General features: G+C 38.6%; 1 protein-coding gene and 1 long non-coding RNA gene across 108 annotated transcripts in view; one reads left to right on the top strand and one right to left on the bottom strand.

The window, feature by feature from the left end:
- The window catches only part of NRCAM (neuronal cell adhesion molecule), a 309,072-nt gene that overhangs the window by 276,065 nt on the left and 15,836 nt on the right, over window positions 1-17,171 (top strand). For 28 of the 107 annotated variants that reach the window (NR_163871.1, NM_001371151.1, NM_001371148.1 and 25 more), the window contains 3 exons: window positions 229-433; window positions 2,544-2,666; window positions 4,050-4,226. Coding sequence is in view for 102 of the 107 variants with exons in the window: in NM_001371151.1 (NP_001358080.1) it covers window positions 229-433; window positions 2,544-2,666; window positions 4,050-4,226 (505 nt within the window). In the remaining 5 variants the exon portion in view is untranslated. Of the gene's footprint in view, window positions 1-228; window positions 434-2,543; window positions 2,667-4,049; window positions 4,236-5,298; window positions 5,335-12,253; window positions 12,380-13,582; window positions 13,736-17,171 lie in introns of all 107 variants that reach the window. The other 79 variants (NR_163867.1, NM_001371122.1, NM_001371125.1 and 76 more) reach the window with 13 other exon arrangements.
- LOC102724363 (uncharacterized) lies at window positions 3,615-15,407 on the bottom strand. The gene is made up of 4 exons (XR_002956579.2): window positions 15,306-15,407; window positions 14,709-14,807; window positions 11,866-11,975; window positions 3,615-3,744 (listed from the first exon to the last, which is right to left on the bottom strand). It is a non-coding gene; the product is annotated as an uncharacterized LOC102724363 (long non-coding RNA).

The following is a 17,171-nucleotide window of genomic DNA, read 5'->3' as shown; positions in this document are numbered from 1 at the left end:
AAAGTAGTGTAGCCCAGCTTTGTCATGTGGCTGTAATTTAATTTCCCTCATGATCTATGGGCTTCTATTCCTCTTGCCTCAGAATCAATATCCATCAGTTTTGCTAGTAATTTTCTTCTAAAATATACCAACGGAATTTTCTGGAAAAACAACAGTTTCAATTTTGTGAGCATAAGGAATCTTGTTTGCTCCTTTCTGCATTCCTGACTTTCGTTCTTGCTGTTTCAGATTTACTATTGGAAGACCCAGAGTTCATCTAAAAGAAACAGACGTCACATTGAGAAAAAGATCCTCACCTTCCAAGGCAGCAAGACTCATGGCATGTTGCCGGGGCTAGAGCCCTTTAGCCACTACACACTGAATGTCCGAGTGGTCAATGGGAAAGGGGAGGGCCCAGCCAGCCCTGACAGAGTCTTTAATACTCCAGAAGGAGGTATGGAATGGACGTGTCTCTAAGATCTCAGGAACATATGGCATGGCCTGAGAGGTTTTGCCTGACAGAAGGGCTACTGATCAAAGTATATTCTGGAAGCCAAATGTGATTGAAATTTCTATAGATGAATACAGCACACACAAAGCTACCAAAATGTCAGATCATATGTGGGCCTAAGTGTACATAGAAGGCTTCAGAACCCAAAATGCTGCTCTGAAATGCCCTCTCCCGTGACTTAAAATTTTTCTCCACACACACTGTCTGAAACCTTGTTACTTTGACATTTATTTGGATCATTAACTTTCTGACCTGAAAGAGGTTCCATAACTTCTCTGAATGTCAGTAGCCTCATCTGAAAAGCATGAGAACCAAATTAGATAACCTAACAAAAACACCTGGAAAGGAAAATATTTCTATAAGTTATAGTTTACTTCTATAGTTTCTTTCTTAGTGCTCTTTTCTAATTTATTAGAAAGTTGAACCGAGTTAGAAGGTTGCAAGTCTTGACCAAGTGGATTGGGAAGAGGAGGGAAAAGTCATTGCAGATATGGGCAACTGCAAGGGAGAGAGTAAGGAAGGACCAAATATATATTGATCCAGGAGTCAGGGGAGAAGGAATTTGGACACAGGGACAAGGGAGCCTTGTGGGTGAGGGAAAGAGGGGCCCATGTAGTAAAAAGGATGAGGATTTGAAAAGGAAATAAAATGGGTTTTACCTATTTTAAATTTTGCAACAATATGCCACTATGACAATGGCCAGATAGCTTCTGTAGCTTGCTTAGCTCTTTTTGATAAAAGAAGTTCACAGAAGATGGACCCCACCCTGGCTGCTGATTGAAAGATTCATGATGCAGGCAGCTGCCCAGCAGCCTCTGAGAACCACCCTGCATCCCAGCTCCCATCTCATTGTAAGTTTTTGTCGTCAATCTCACTGTCCCTTAGAGAGTCAGGGCTCTTCCTCCTCGATGTTTTCACAAGCTGGGGACTGTAGTCCCTTAGGGAGACAATGAATGGGTTTAATGAGCTCCATGAGCCTCCTAAAATTGTATGCAAGATAAATGTATATTTTTCCAGGGAGTGTTTATGGCTGTCATCAGATTCTCAAAAGGGTCTGTGATCCCCTAAAGTAAAGAACCACTTATTGGGTTGGGGAAGCTTAGAAGCCTAGAACTATGTGCCAGGCATGGTTTTAGGACCAGACAAAGACATCTAGGGGCCTAAAGCAGGGAAATGACAAAGAAGATGGGGATAGGAAGAAATGGATATGATTTAGATTAAGGAAGTGGAGTTAGTGTCTGAGGAGAGGGTGGAAATGAGGCAGATAGGGAAGTTCAGGTTGACTCTGGTTTTTGGCTAGAGTGACAATAGGGAGAGTGGTTCCATTAGTTAGTTTCCAGGGGCAGTGGTAGGGGAGGTAACCATTGTGAGAGAGAGCTGCCACCAGCCATCATCCTCATGAGGAAGTGAATAAAAGATGAGCAGACATGTTTCCTCTGGTGATTTGCCAGCCTCTGCCACAGAGAACCTGAGACCCCTCGGGCCTTCCCCAGGGCTGGGGGTGTGCCAAGGTTGGGCTTTTGTCCATTCACCACCAGATCCTGGGCAGCTGTCAGCTCTCAGGATAAGAACGTTTCTGCACCTGGGCATGCTGGCCCAAAGCCCAGCAGGCAGGGCATTCTGACTGTTTGGAGACACCTGGTTTGTTAGAGAAAACAGTCCTTAATGGTCCAGAACACAGCTGCTTCCACTCAGATCCAGTTAGAATAGTTTCACTTGGTAGCTAGTTTGCTTCTATTAAGACACCATTCATGCGTCAAACAAGTACTGCCTCTTTTTAAAATATTAGGTTTGAGTCCATCTAAAGGCAAAGTCATTATGTGTTTTGAGAGGATGGTTTTATTAAATATAAATGTAAATGACAAGAGAGAAAAAGGAAGAGAATAACTAAATGGGTGCCTGTCACAGGTTTGTACTAATGTATTTTCAGCTGAATCAGGAATGAGTTACTGAAACTCAAAACCTTGAATCGTGCGAGCACGGTGAAATGTCAATTTAATACATGTTGAAACATTCAGAAATCTTTGTGTTGACTGTAAGTTCTCACTGTAAGTCCCCAGTGCTCCCTCGTCTTTGAAGATTGTGAATCCAACACTGGACTCTCTCACTTTGGAATGGGATCCACCGAGCCACCCGAATGGCATTTTGACAGAGTACACCTTAAAGTATCAGCCAAGTAAGCTGTTGGGAGGAAGAGAAGGGGAAATATGTTTTTTTATTTTATTTATTATTTTAATTGACAAATAATTATACCTCCTCATGGGGTACGTAGTGATGTTTCGATACATATAGTGATCAGATCAGGGGAATTCGCATATTCATCTTCTCAAATATTTATCATTTATTTGTGTTGGAAACATTTAATATCCTCCCTCTAGCTGTGTAAGGAACACCAGAACTTAGTCTTTGTATCTAGCTATCATTTTGTATCATATATATATATACACACGTATATATATATATACGTGTATATATATATACACGTATATATATACACGTATATACATATATATATATATATATATATATATATATATATATTTGAGATGGAGTCTCGCTCTGTCACCCAGGCTGGAGTGCAGTGGTGAGATCTTGGCTCACTGCAAGCTCCATCTCCCGAGTTCACACCATTCTCCTCCGTCAGCCTCCCGAGTAGCTGGGACTACAGACGCCCACCACCATGCCCGGCAAATTTTTTGTATTTTTAGTAGAGACGGGGTTTCACCATGTTAGCCAGGATGGTCTTGATCTCCTGACCTCGTGATCTGCCCACCTCAGCCTCCCAAAGTGCTGGGATTACAGGCGTGAGCCACTGCGCCCAGCCTTCCCTTTAACTGATATCTCCCTATCTCGCCTTCCCTCTGTCCTTCCTTTATTTCTGGGATGCTGTGTTCTACTTTTTACTTCTGTGACATGAACTTTTTTTAGCTTTCACCTATGAGTGAGAACATGTGGTGTTTAACTTAACTGTTATCAAAAAATACAAGCTAGTTTTTCTTTATATCTGTAGAATATATACATATAACTTCAAGTGTTGTTTCAGAAAGAACTTCAAATCTTACTTTTTAAAGAAAAATGATGTCTATGTTATTAAAAATTAAGTAATCTGTAGAATAATACAGACCTTTAGGAGTGGGGTTTAGGTGAGTCCTGTCATTAAATCACATATGCATTTTCTACAAATAGAAAATGGTTCCTTTGGCAAAAGTCCTCTGAAGAAAAATGTTTGGGGTTATTTAACAATACAACTCCACCTGCAAGAACACAGGGGAAAAAATTCTATTGTGATTCAACCACAACATTCTTCTAGTTTATTAGCCAATAGAGAACATACTACCCCCTTGTGATATATGATATGATATGATATGATACGATATGATAGAACATAGCATAGGAGCTGTTAAAAGGTTATCACTTAGTTATGCTGGGGAAAGAGTGAGTGGGATTATAAAAGTCAATGTAAGCCAGGTTGAACATTTTTAGTTGACGTATTTATTTATAATAGTATTCCTATAGCAGTTAATGGAGAATGCACTTGTTCATTATTTCTTATTGACAGTTAACAGCACACATGAATTAGGCCCTCTGGTAGATTTGAAAATTCCTGCCAACAAGACACGGTGGACTTTAAAAAATTTAAATTTCAGCACTCGATATAAGTTTTATTTCTATGCACAAACATCAGCAGGATCAGGAAGTCAAATTACAGAGGAAGCAGTAACAACTGTGGATGAAGGTAAGATGGGTATGTATAAAATCCATATAATTATAAGCATCATGAAATAAAAATCTTTAAGTTTATGCTTTTTCCTTCTTGCTATGGAACGTCTGTCTTACCTGATTAACGCAAACACTTATTTGTAATTTCTCATTCTGATATATAATCAGCTATTTAGTTCATATTGGACTGATATTTTTCAACTCCATGTGAAACTTTCTTAAACTTACATTAAAATCTTAGTGTGGGAGTGAGTAAGCATAATATTTGCCACACTTGAATTTGAAGTTCAGGGGAATGTTGTTTCCTGTTTACAACTTTATATATTATATATATTCATGCACAAACATACATATGTACACATACACATAATACACACATATGCATACACAGACATACACATCTATATACACACAAATATATGTAATTCGAGTTCTGGTCCTGATTTACTGGAAAAAATTTTCTAGTTCACATATCAATTTACATTTTCTAGCAAGGAAATCGAAACAGTTATTAAAGAGTGCATTTATTTTGTGTTTGAGCAAAAGATTTTGCATTTTGGTATGTACAAAGAAAGCAAAATAGCCCATTATAGTATTTAGAAAAGGAATTAACACTTCTTTTCATACTTTAAAAAGTTATTCTGAAATCTTGAGATTCAATGAAAATTATCAAAAATATTATAAAAGGTTTTCTAGTTTTGCATGTCTCTAAATTGTAGAGTTGCTTAAGGATTATTCATTTGACTATCTTTGATAGCATAAAAAATTGACAATTTCTATCCAAAAATTGGTTTGAAATATCCTAAGCCTTCATACATAATCAACAAGTATGAATAATGCACCTTAAGTAATGTGTTTGAATACTGGGTATTCAAACTGGGTATCCTGATAAAATGTTGGTACTGGATTTGAATACTAGATAAGTTTGGGGACACCAACATATCTTTGTCCCCTATACCTGATGTGGTACACTTCATTCTTCTTGCATGCTTTAGCATTTTAATAAGTGTTTTTGTATCGCTATACATGCTCATGGGTGTGTTACATCTAACTATATAGTGTCCTATTTCTGTTTCCCTTCATTAAAGCTGGTATTCTTCCACCTGATGTAGGTGCAGGCAAAGGTAAAATAATTCATCTGCATGACTTTATACATGTGTGAAATTTGCAATGTGAAACATGGGGAAGTGCAGCATGGGTAAAACAGAGAAAATATGCTTTGAACCACCAAAAGAAGAGAAGATCTCATCCAATCTTGGCTTTAAAATTAATTTCTAGTCCTTTCTTTACAAGTAGAAAGCCACATATTGAATTCTCAAAACATTTTTTCTTGAGACTTATCCCTGGTACAAATCCTAATCTTAGCTTCTAATACTATGATTTTGGCTGGATCAGACAGGACCAAAACTGTGTATTTGTCACAGATCCTCTATATGGCCATGCCACATTATTTGGGGTTCAGAAATATTAGCCCTGTGATGAAAACAGCCTGGTAGAAATCAGATCAACCAAGCTTCCTGTTCTATTCTGATTTAGCTGCTCTCCTTGTAGACACAGTGTACACTCGGCTGCCATTGCACAAAACCGTCCATTTGGAATTACAGCGTAGCAATGCCCTCCAACTGGTTTGGGACTAAGTCTCCCCGAGCTTAGGGTCCCCTGCAAGTGAGTCTTCCAGGTGACCCATATGCTCTTCTCAAATGTGTTATCCCACCCATCCTGTCTTCACCCAACTGCCTAAGTCTCTTCCTCCTGAGTAATAGCCAACAATCCACAATGGATTTTGTTCTCCTTTATTTCTGACAGCTCTCTGGGTCAGAAAGATTTGTTGGGAGAATGGTGCTTGAATAAGTTGTAATATGTCTTCCATTAGTGGCAATGCCAAAGATGCCCCAGTCTTTGACCCCTGGCTGCTGGTTGACCAGTCAGCTTTTTAGAGAGCAGTGGAGTACCTGCCACTGGGCACTGTTTTCACGTGGCATGCCCATGGTCAGGGGCTTTCGCACATCAGGTGAGTATAAACAGGAATGAAGAAAAGGAAGACCAAGAGAAAAATGTGCTTTGCCCTATGTTATTCAACTCCTGTGAGCTTAGACTTGATAGATTTATTCTATTTGCTTAGAAATTTGCTTATATTCAGAGCTTTGGTAAATTACAAAATATCGATCAGATAGATTTTGGAGTTATTGAATAAGGACTGTAGCCATTTTCAGTAATCTTAAGAGTATTATATTTGTGTTTTTAGACTTGACGAAGTTGTAAAAATTCAAAATTTCTATATCACAGAGCGATGTAAACTTACTTCTATTTATTTGTATACTTCCTTCCTATGATAATTAGATATCAATTAAAATCATTAGTAGTTTTACAATAATATATTGCTTTATAACTTCAATTGGAGCATTTCACTAAAAGCCTGGCCTTGTTTCCTATGCAGTGGACATGTCACTGTGGCTGTGCCTAGAGCTGATAGCAGAGAAATTGTGCTTCAGCAGGACTGTCTGTGAAGCAAGTCTGAATTCTCAGTGGACTTGTCACGTTAGAAGTAGATATGCACTCCACTGGAAAAACATCACCCCTCTGTTTTTAATAAATTAAAACTAAATTCTATATTTAAAGAGTTTTGGTTTTACCATTTGATGTTACTAATTTGAATTGTGAGCTACTTATGATTAGAGAGACAAGCAAAAATGGAGTGTCTGAAAGTTCATTAAGCCCCCAGTATTAAAATCTGATGGATCTTAGATAAGAAAAGAATAGCGTTTAAATAAGGGGGAAAAAAGCTAACTCTGACCTTAATTTTAATATGGTTTATTTTAATAGTATAGCAGTAGTTAAGTATGGCTTACATAAGAGGATATTTTGCCAGTAAGACTTTAAACTGCTCAAGCATAATTTGTGATCCTGGGTTTTCCTTCCTTAAAAATACTTCTTTTTTTCAATCTGAAAATGAATTCTATCCTCTTCACTATTTCCCTTCTCCATATGGAATTTAACTGCTCTGTGACAGGAGAAAAATTGAAGTTCTCCACTATCCTCCCAAATTTTAATTTTTTAAATGTATCTTTTACATTTTTATTTAAATCAGGACAATAGGGAATAAATAAGAGATGAATAAAGAGGAAACATGTGATATCCTTAGCTATAGAAGCATCAATATGGCCGGGCGTGGTGGCTCACACCTGTAATCCCAACAGTTTGGGAGGCTGAGGCGGGCAGATCACGTGAGGTCAGGAGTTCAAGACCAGCCTGGCCAGCATGATGAAACCCCATCTCTACTAAAAATATAAAAATTAGCTGGGCGTGTTGTTGGGCGCCTGTAATCCCAGCTACTCAGGAGGCTGAGGCAGGAAAACTGTTTGAACTCAGGAGGTAGAGGTTGCAGTGAGCTGAGATTGCACCATTGCACTCCAGCCTGGGCAACGAGCAAAACTCCATCTCAAAAAAAAAAAAAAAAAAAAATCAACATCTCATAAGATTTTATTATGAATTATGATTTCATGAAAAGTGGTTTTAATTCATTTCTGGTCAAAGAGGGGAAAAGAAATGCATCTGAGTTTACATTTTTAAACTTTCTTACAGATTTTAAGAGATGTTAATGAAACCTAAGTTTTCAAATGTATAATTACAAAAGGATTATAAACCTGAAGGAAAACCCAGGATAATTCAATTAACTATATGATGCCATACTAACCCTTCTTCTTACCATTCTCCTCAAGATAATTACATACGCGAGACCTTTGAGTCATTTATTTTTGTCCTTTTCTTTGTTGGATTAAAGCTCTCAATATTTGTGTAGGAATTATAGTTGATTGGCATATTTTTTCAATTTCTATGTCTCTTTAAATGAGGCTGGGTGTGGTGGCTCATGCCTGTAATCCCAGCACTTTGGGAAGCTGAGGCAGGCAGATCACTTGAGGTCAGGAATTCGAGACCAGCCTGGCCAACATGGTGAAACCCCATCTCTACTAAAAATACCAAAATTAGCCAGGCGTGGTAGTACACACCTGTAGTCCTAGCTGCCCGGGAGGCGGAGGCAGGAGAATTGTTTTAACCCAGGAGGCAGAGGCTGCAGTGAGCTGGAGGCTGCACTGAGCCAAGATTGCACCACTGCACCCCAGCCTGGGCGACAGAACGAGACTCCATTTCATAAATAAATAAATAAATAAATGATTTCAGGGTCTGGAATTCTAGGAAGTAGACTGTGAAGGCATGTATAGAAATGAACCAAAAATGTGCAGGCTCAAAAAGATTTATGTTCCCAGTATTGCTGATGATCCACAATGCCATATCCATTGCATGTAATCTGGCGCTCTGAGGACCAAGCATCAAAATACTTTTATAGGGTAATTAGTTGGAATACAGAAACAGGGATAAACTAACTGGCAAAGCAGGAATCTGCATTCTTGACCTAACTTGCAGCCTACTATGGTCAACCAATTAGGAGTGAGCAGAGAAGAGCATTGAGGATCAGCTAGTGGTGAATCCCTTCTGTGATCTGACTCTCACTACATTATTTTACTAAAGAACCAGTAAATAAAAAATAAAATTCCTTTTTTGGCCTATACGAAAACAAAACAAGACATCTAGAAGCATAGAAGTTTCAATCAGTTCAACAGTGAATGTCTCTCTGGCACATAAAATGCACCCGTGTTTGTTTAAGAAGCTGTGTATAAAGACAGTAAGACAAACCCTGGCCTTGACATGCTTGAAATCTGGCAGGTAAGACCAACGTATAGAAAGAGTAATAAATTGACGCTAAACTAGAAATTGGAGCAAAATGTTATCTGAATATAGAGGTGTGAACCATTTTTTTTGCCAAGCAGGATCAGGAAAAGCTTCACAAAGAAAATAATATTGAACTGGGCCTTGAAGCCCAGTTTTTGTTTTATTTTTGTCAGATGAGTCAGGGAGTTGCAGTGTGTAAAGTCTTGGTAGGGGTCATAAGCACATGGCGTTTGAAAACATACCGGATGTCTGGGTTATACCAAGCGGTCCACTTAGGCTGACTTGTAGAGAGTGTGTGGAAAAGAGAAGACCCTGAGATGGGACTGGAGCAGTGGGCGGGGCCAGATGGTAACAGCTCTGAAGGGCCATGAATGCTTTGCTAAGGAATTTGTATTTACCTGTAGGCAGAGTTTTAAACAGAGAAGTGGCTAGATAAGAGTTGTAGTTTCAGCAGCTAAAATGTAGGTAACTACACTGGCGGTATCTACAGAGGAAGACTTACAGTTGGGCGAGGCACACCGGAAGCAGTCCGTTGGGAAAGCCCAGAGAAAGGGGACACTACAGCTCCCTTGTATGGTACAAAATAGGTGCTCTGTGAGTGAGAAGGTGGATGAGTGGGGATTAAAAGGAAGGAGAGTTCGAATTCCCTATGGTAAAAGTGGCTAAACAGCATGCCTTAGGAAATTGTGGTATCTTTTCTGGGTATCTTTAAGAATAAGCTAAATGCAAATTTCCAGTGTATAATACTTTATTATTAACTATAATTAGTAATATAATGCTGTACATTAGATCTCTAGAACTTGTTCATCTTATAACTGAAAGTTTGTACCCTTTGACCAACATCTCCCATTTCCCCAACCCCCACCCCACCTCTAGCCCCTGGCAACCACTATTCTACACTCGTTCTCTAAGTACAACTTTTTTAGATTCCACATGTGAACCCCGAAAATCTGAGACAGGTTTCAGTTAATTTAGAAAGTTTATTTGCCCAGGTTGAGAACATATGCCCGTGACATACCCATAGCTCAGGAGACCCTGAAGACATGTGCCCAAGGTGGCCAGAGCACAGTTTGGTTTTATACACTTTAGGGAGTTATGACACATCAATCAACACATGTGAGATGAACATTGGTTTGGTCTGGAAAGGAGGGACAACTCGAAGCAGGGAGTTTCTAGGTCATAGGTAGGTGAGAGACAAACGGTTGCATTCTTTTTGAGTTTCTGATGAGACTCTCCGAAGGAGGCAATCAGATACGCATTTATCTCAGTGAGCAGAGGGATGACTTTGAAAAGAATGGGAGGCAGGTTTGTCCTAAGCAGTTCCCAGATTGACTTTTCCCTTTAGCTTAGTGATTCTGGGGCCCAAAGATTTATTTTCCTTTCACACACATTTAAGTGAGATCACGCAATATTTGCCTTTCTGTGTCTGGATTATTTTACTTAGCATAGTATCCTCCAGGTTCATCCATGTTGTTGCAAATGGCAGGATTTCCTTTTTTTTTAAAGTCGGAATAATATTCCATTGTGTAAATATATATATATATGGTAATTTCTTTATCCATTCATCTGTCAATGGATATTTAGGTTGTTTTCATGTCTTGACTATTGTGAATAATGCTGCAATGAATTTAGGAGAGTCGATACTCGTAGAGATAATGATTTCATTTCAATAAAACTAGAAACAAAATAATAATAATGAACAGTTTAGAGAAGAAACTCTGAGAAGGGAGCACCCATAGAAACCAATGTAAAATATAAGAAGAAACTAAATGCTTTTCCGTTAGAAGTATTTTGCTCTTCTGTTAGTAAATGCTCTTGTGTTAGAAGTATTATGTTTCTGCCTTGAACATCTTCCATATTACTCCAAGATTAAATTCCTGTTTCAATATTCCAAAATTTTTTAAGAAAATTAATGTTTTTCCTGGGTTGCCATTGATGTTTTACACATGTGTGCATATTTACTGTCATTGATTGATCATATTCCTATTATTTTACCTATAAGAAGAAAATCTCGGAAAACTAAAATTAATTAGGTCCACAGAAGGACTCTGCATAATTCAGTAATCAGTTTTGCCCTCTGCTGTTTCCCCATGCTTAGCACAAAGAGATACAAAATTTGCATGTGTTGTTGAATTATATTTCAGAAGTCAAAAGCATTATTTAACTGCTTTAATATCTTTCTTTTCTTAATTCTAAGAAATGTAATTTTATTACATTTATTTGAACAAAGGTCTTGAGCGTCTACATTTTATAAACATATCTTAGAATATAATTTTAGTGTCTTGGTAAACCTATTGATGCTGTCTGATTGACTATCCTAGTAAATTTTATGTGAGATAATAAATTGATCTTCTTTTTTAACTACCCAAATTAACACATCTGTAAATGTTTCATTTTTAGTTTAAGCTATTGAGGTAGGACTGATAGAATTGCCTGCCTCAGGTATTCAAATAACATTTTTTAATGACTTTAGATGTTGTCTTTACCCAGTAGCAAGCATGTAGCATCATCTGGTCTCCATAATTTGGATTTTTAAGAAGCTATTTAGGTTGCACTATGATTTTTCAGAAAATGCTTTGTAACAAACAGTTAACAGGTAAGATTGTCTTGCTCTCTAGGAAATGTTACATGAAATAGTTTTTACTCCTTTTATTTATTCTTTCTTAACTTCTGATAGAACACATCTGGAAATTCCTTTTGCAGCTTCTCTTCCAACATACCCTTACCATCCATCATTCTCTAAAGCAGGGATTTCTTACCTGGGGTCCCTGAGTTTCCCAGTGATACTCAAAGAAGTCTGTTTTTTAAAACAGATCAAAAACGCTGTTCAAAGGGGCATTCTCTGTCACACCAACACAGATTTTTTAAAGACCTGCATTGAGATGACAAATAGGTTTGAAAAGTAGCCACATAGTATTGGGTTTTACCTTGGCGTCTCTGACATTCCATGATGACGTCTGTCCCTGGGATTGTTCAGCAATCCCCCTCTCCATCACACTTTAGTAAATGAAGACGGTGACATTTCCCGGGACTGTATCTAATGGACAACAGTTAACATTGTTCAGAACCCATATAATAGAACTCACAAATTTTAATATTATGCGTCATTATTTCTGATTATTAATTTCCTAGTGCTGAATTTAAGAAACAAAAACCTTTCTGTAATGAAAGCAAAGCATGAGTGAACCCTAAATTTTAGCAGTAAATTCTATTTAATTCTATTTGCACAATTTCAGAGTATTTAAACTTATTTTATATTCGTGTGTATGGTGTTGCAATATGATTGTTTGTTTTATTTTTCTATTGTATGTTTAGTTCAAGCAGTAAATCCCAGGATCAGCAATCTTACTGCTGCAGCTGCTGAGACCTATGCCAATATCAGTTGGGAATATGAGGGACCAGAGCATGTGAACTTTTATGTTGAATATGGTGTAGCAGGCAGTAAGAAACAATTTCATTACCCGATTTTTAATTTGGGGGATGCATTTTTTAAAAGATTAAAAACATTCTTAAGAATTTACTATGGATCATCTTGAAAAATAACTTGATCCAATTAAATGAATGAGTTATCTAAAAAAATTATAGTGAACCATCAGCCTACCACATATTATATGCACGACTAGGAATTGCTTTTTTATGTTATTAATAACAGAGGGCATATGTTCCATTACGTATGTTATTTTCATATCATAGTACTTGAAACTAGTTCTGTGCCCACAACACATAAACAAGAGTAAGAAGGAATAATTATATTTGCAAGTACAATAGAAAAGAAGAAAAGGTTTTTTTTTCAAATTGGATCTTGAAGTAACAGAAATCAAACTGACTTGAAAGTATTCATTTTGCCCTGACTAGCCCAACAGAATTTTATAAGAAACCGCAGAAAATTAATACTTTGGGAGAGCATTCATTATGTTTTAACGTTTGATGTATTCTCAAGTCAGGCACTCTTCGTAGATCCTGGCCACATCTACTGGGAGATGGGGCAGCTTTCACTTTCAGCAGTTTATGAAAAGCCAGTACCCCCCTCCTAAGTGCAGTGTGCTTACATAGAACAAATGAGGTGGCCAATAAATGTTTGTGACAAAATGTTGAACAGAGTCCAACTTTCTGTTTAAGCCTTTATCATGCAAGTAAATGTTTTTAGAAATGACGATCCCTTTAGAAAAACCGGTACTTGGGAAAGGTTGAATCGATTAATTGGATACGTTGGAAGGCATTTAAGTTTACTAAAAGATTCATCTTGTGAATCATAAAAAAACAATTCTTCCCATAGTTCACTTAAGCTAATTAATGTGTATCAGTTCTTTTGAGAAACATCTTTAGAGAAACTCAACAGTTTCATAAGGCAAGGTGCAGATAAAGAACCTTCCTTTGTATTAAAGAGGAGAATTAATACAATGGGAATATATACAATTAATAAGCAAGCTAGATACCCAGTCTATTTTTCTTTGAGGATATTTTCCTGTAGGTCATTTTAATTGATTTGTTTGACATGACTACATTTATAATAATCTAAAATGGTAAACCTAAGCATCCTACATCTTGTCTTTAGCTTATAAAGAATTTTCCTTTCTTGAAGCATTAAGTGACTTCTGGTCCCTTAAAATATTCAAATGTGTTGTTTTTGCAAAATTTCCATAGGCAAAGAAGAATGGAGAAAAGAAATTGTAAATGGTTCTCGGAGCTTCTTTGGGTTAAAGGGTCTAATGCCAGGAACAGCATACAAAGTTCGAGTTGGTGCTGTGGGGGACTCTGGTTTTGTGAGTTCAGAGGATGTGTTTGAGACAGGCCCAGGTGAGGCTCACACCACACCTGTTCTGGCTCCCGCTCAGAGGTGGAGGCCGCCAGGTGCTCCAGCTGGAGATGGGGGCTGGTGGAGCTGTGTTATGGGTAGGGCATGAATGTCTTTCTATGGGGCCCTGTTGGGTTGGGAGTTTTGGTTTTTGTCTTTGGTTCTTTATATCAAATGAATTACGGAATTTAGCAAATCATCTAGCCACATTATTACCAAAAACCATCAGAAAAATAGACTTAAATATGATTTTAACTTATATTATTTAAAGAATTCAATTGTTCATATCACATGTATAAACTTTCCCTCAGTGTTAAACTGAAATTTTTTAAGTGCTTTTGAAGATGAAAGAACTTATAAGAAAGTCACAATTCTGGCCGGGCGCGGTAGCTCACGCCTGTAATCCTAGCACTTAGGGAGGCCGAGGCAGGCGGATCACCTGAGGTCAGGAGTTCGAGACCAGCCTGGCCAACATGATGAAACCCCGTCTCTACTAAAAATACAATAATTAGCTGGGCATGGTGGTGGGCGCCTGTAATCCCAGCTACTCAGGAGGCTGAGGCAGGAGAATCACTTGAACCCGGGAGGCAGAGGTTGCGGTGAGCCAAGATTGCGCCATTGCTCTCTAGCCTGGGTGACAGAGTAAGACTCCGTCTCAAAAAAAAAAAAAAAAAGAAAAGAAAGAAAGTCACAATTCTTTATTTCAAAATGGCCTACAACCCAGCAGAACCCTGCAGTCAGCTTAGACAACTGATACAGATATTATTACATTTGTATGGAACAAGAACTTGTACAATTCATATGCTACATTTTTTATCACACCAAATTTTACTGCCTGTATATATTTACTTATGTGAATATTAACAAAATATGCAAGTAAAAAGTGAAGTTTCTAAAATAAAGAAAAATGTTCATGTGAAACATGAGAGCATTCGTATTTGCTCGCTAGATGGAGAACAATCCCTGCTTACTTACATTTCAACAAGAGTTGTTTGTGGTACATGTTCACTCTGTGGTTCATACCCCCATGTTATTTTCATTCACTCCATGCATTCTTAAAGAAATGTGCATATCCTGTAGAATACATTACACAATGTATTTTTTGTGACTTTCATTAACAAAGCATTATGATTTTTAAAGTCAGTTTTTACAATTTAGAAAAATATAAATCATAAGTGGTTTTTAAAAAGAAACAACAATAATGTATTAAACTATATTTTAAAGATATTCATTTGCTAAAATCATAATGTTTTAAGAAAACCACACATTTTATTCTGTTCTTTGTATTTCATATCCATTTATGTATATAGTCCTGGGAAACCAGTGTGTTAAGCTTAAAAGGGGAATATCTAATCAATTCATAGCTAGTTTACAAGGTTTTTGTTTGTTATTGATAACTTTTATTTTCAAAATACTAAAAGTCAAGTAGATATTATCTTCATATATAGCTGGAATGCTAATAATAGTAATGGGACTAGCATTTAGTCAGCTCTCCTATACAGCAGGAAGTGGTTTTCTCATTCAGTCCTTACAACAATCCTATGATGTAGGCACCATTATTACTCCACTTACCCCTCAAGTCAGAGAGGTCGAGTACCTGCCAGGTCGCCCAGTAGGAACGTGACAGAGCTGGGATTAGAAGCTTGTCGTTCCGTCTCCAGAAGAAAGGCCTCACTATACCCCCACTGCAGGGTCACAAAGGTCCACAGGCCAAGGAGGACAGGCTGTCTCAGAAAGGGCAGCTTCGGTCAACACTTGGTATATCCAATCAGTGATTCTGGACCCCTGCAGGCTGCATGTGGTTACTGGTTCTGGATTATTTATGAAGAATCTACTATGTATAAAAATGACCTGTTGTTAAAATTGTTAGAAATGTTTAGGAAAGGAAAAAGTGACTTTATCCAAAGTTAGATTCACCCTCAAAATCAAGTTGTAGCATTTGTTGTCCTTCTATAGGACAAAAGACAACTCCTTTAGAAAATTATTTTTCACTCAGCAGTGTAATGCCTACAGTTCCAGCAGCAACTGCCAGATAGTTTGAGGTGAGGAATCGTGATAGGTGGGCCTTCTTGTGTGCCAGTGATGGAGAGACAGGACAAGGTCACAACCAGTTCTTGTCACTTTTTACATATAAATGTATTAAAAAGAACAAATATTGATTCACCTCTAGTGACCTTAGTTAACACATCGCCTGTAAGAGCAAATGCTGCCAGCATTCTAGAATGCCTCAGTTTACCATTACGCTGCCTCCCTTTTCCCAGTTCACAATGCTTCATCCTTTGGGGCTGCTGGGTTAACTCCAGTGTGAAAGCACCGTCTTCCACTGCCCCTGCTCCTGCTCCTGCTCCTCCTCTCCTCTCCTCTCCTCTCCTCTCGGTTCCGCGGTGTAAGGATGTCAATATTTGGCATGAAAGCCTATCATTGGCTAATTTTTAAACTCTGCATTCATGATCTACTTCTCTCTCTTTCTCTGATTTCTGCTAATTTTAGGACACTGGACTCAACTTTATCTATAGTTATTTCATCAATCTTCCTACCATTACACCATCTCTCCCTTTTATACCCTGGATTTCTAAGGTATATTTCTTAATTTTTTTCCTATGGCACAAACTGAAAAACAGACGAGATAGGCGGTGTCCTGATGCTGCGCTTCTTCCCCGTACTACTGGTATGACCTCTCATTACCCCACCCCACCTGGTATGACCTCTCACTACCCCACCCCACCTGGTATGACCTCTCATTACCCCACCCCACCCGGTATGACCTCTCATTACCGCCACCCCACCCGGTATGACCTCTCATTACCCCACCCCACCCGGTATGACCTCTCACTACCCCACCCCACCTGGTATGACCTCTCATTACCGCCACCCCACCCGGTATGACCTCTCACTACCCCACCCCACCTGGTATGACCTCTCATTACCGCCACCCCACCCGGTATGACCTCTCACTACCCCACCCCACCCGGTATGACCTCTCATTACCGCCACCCCACCCGGTATGACCTCTCACTACCCCACCCCACCCGGTATGACCTCTCATTACCGCCACCCCACCCAGTATGACCTCTCATTACCGCCACCCCACCCGGTATGACCTCTCATTACCGCCACCCCACCCGGTATGACCTCTCATTACCGCCACCCCACCTGGTATGACTGCTCATTAGCGCCACTCCCTGCCCCCGTTTGACCTCTCTTTAGTGCCACCCCATCTGGTATGACCAGACGTGACCTCTCATTAATGCCATCCACCTCCCCTTCCTCTTTTACCTCTGTCCCTCAATTACCCAGTCTTTCTTATCATCACAAAGGATTTAAAACAGATTTGTTTTCACGAGGCCCAACAGCTTTTTTGTCAGTTGTCTCCAAACTTTGGTTAAGGTCACATTTTGCTCTTCCTAAACACATCTAAGCGTTTGATGTCTAAGCATT

This window comes from Homo sapiens, chromosome 7 (assembly GCF_000001405.40).
Source record: "Homo sapiens chromosome 7, GRCh38.p14 Primary Assembly".
Classification (NCBI taxonomy): Eukaryota; Metazoa; Chordata; class Mammalia; order Primates; family Hominidae; genus Homo; species Homo sapiens.
Note: the sequence above shows the minus strand (reverse complement) of the source record. Positions and strands in the feature narration are given on the sequence as shown.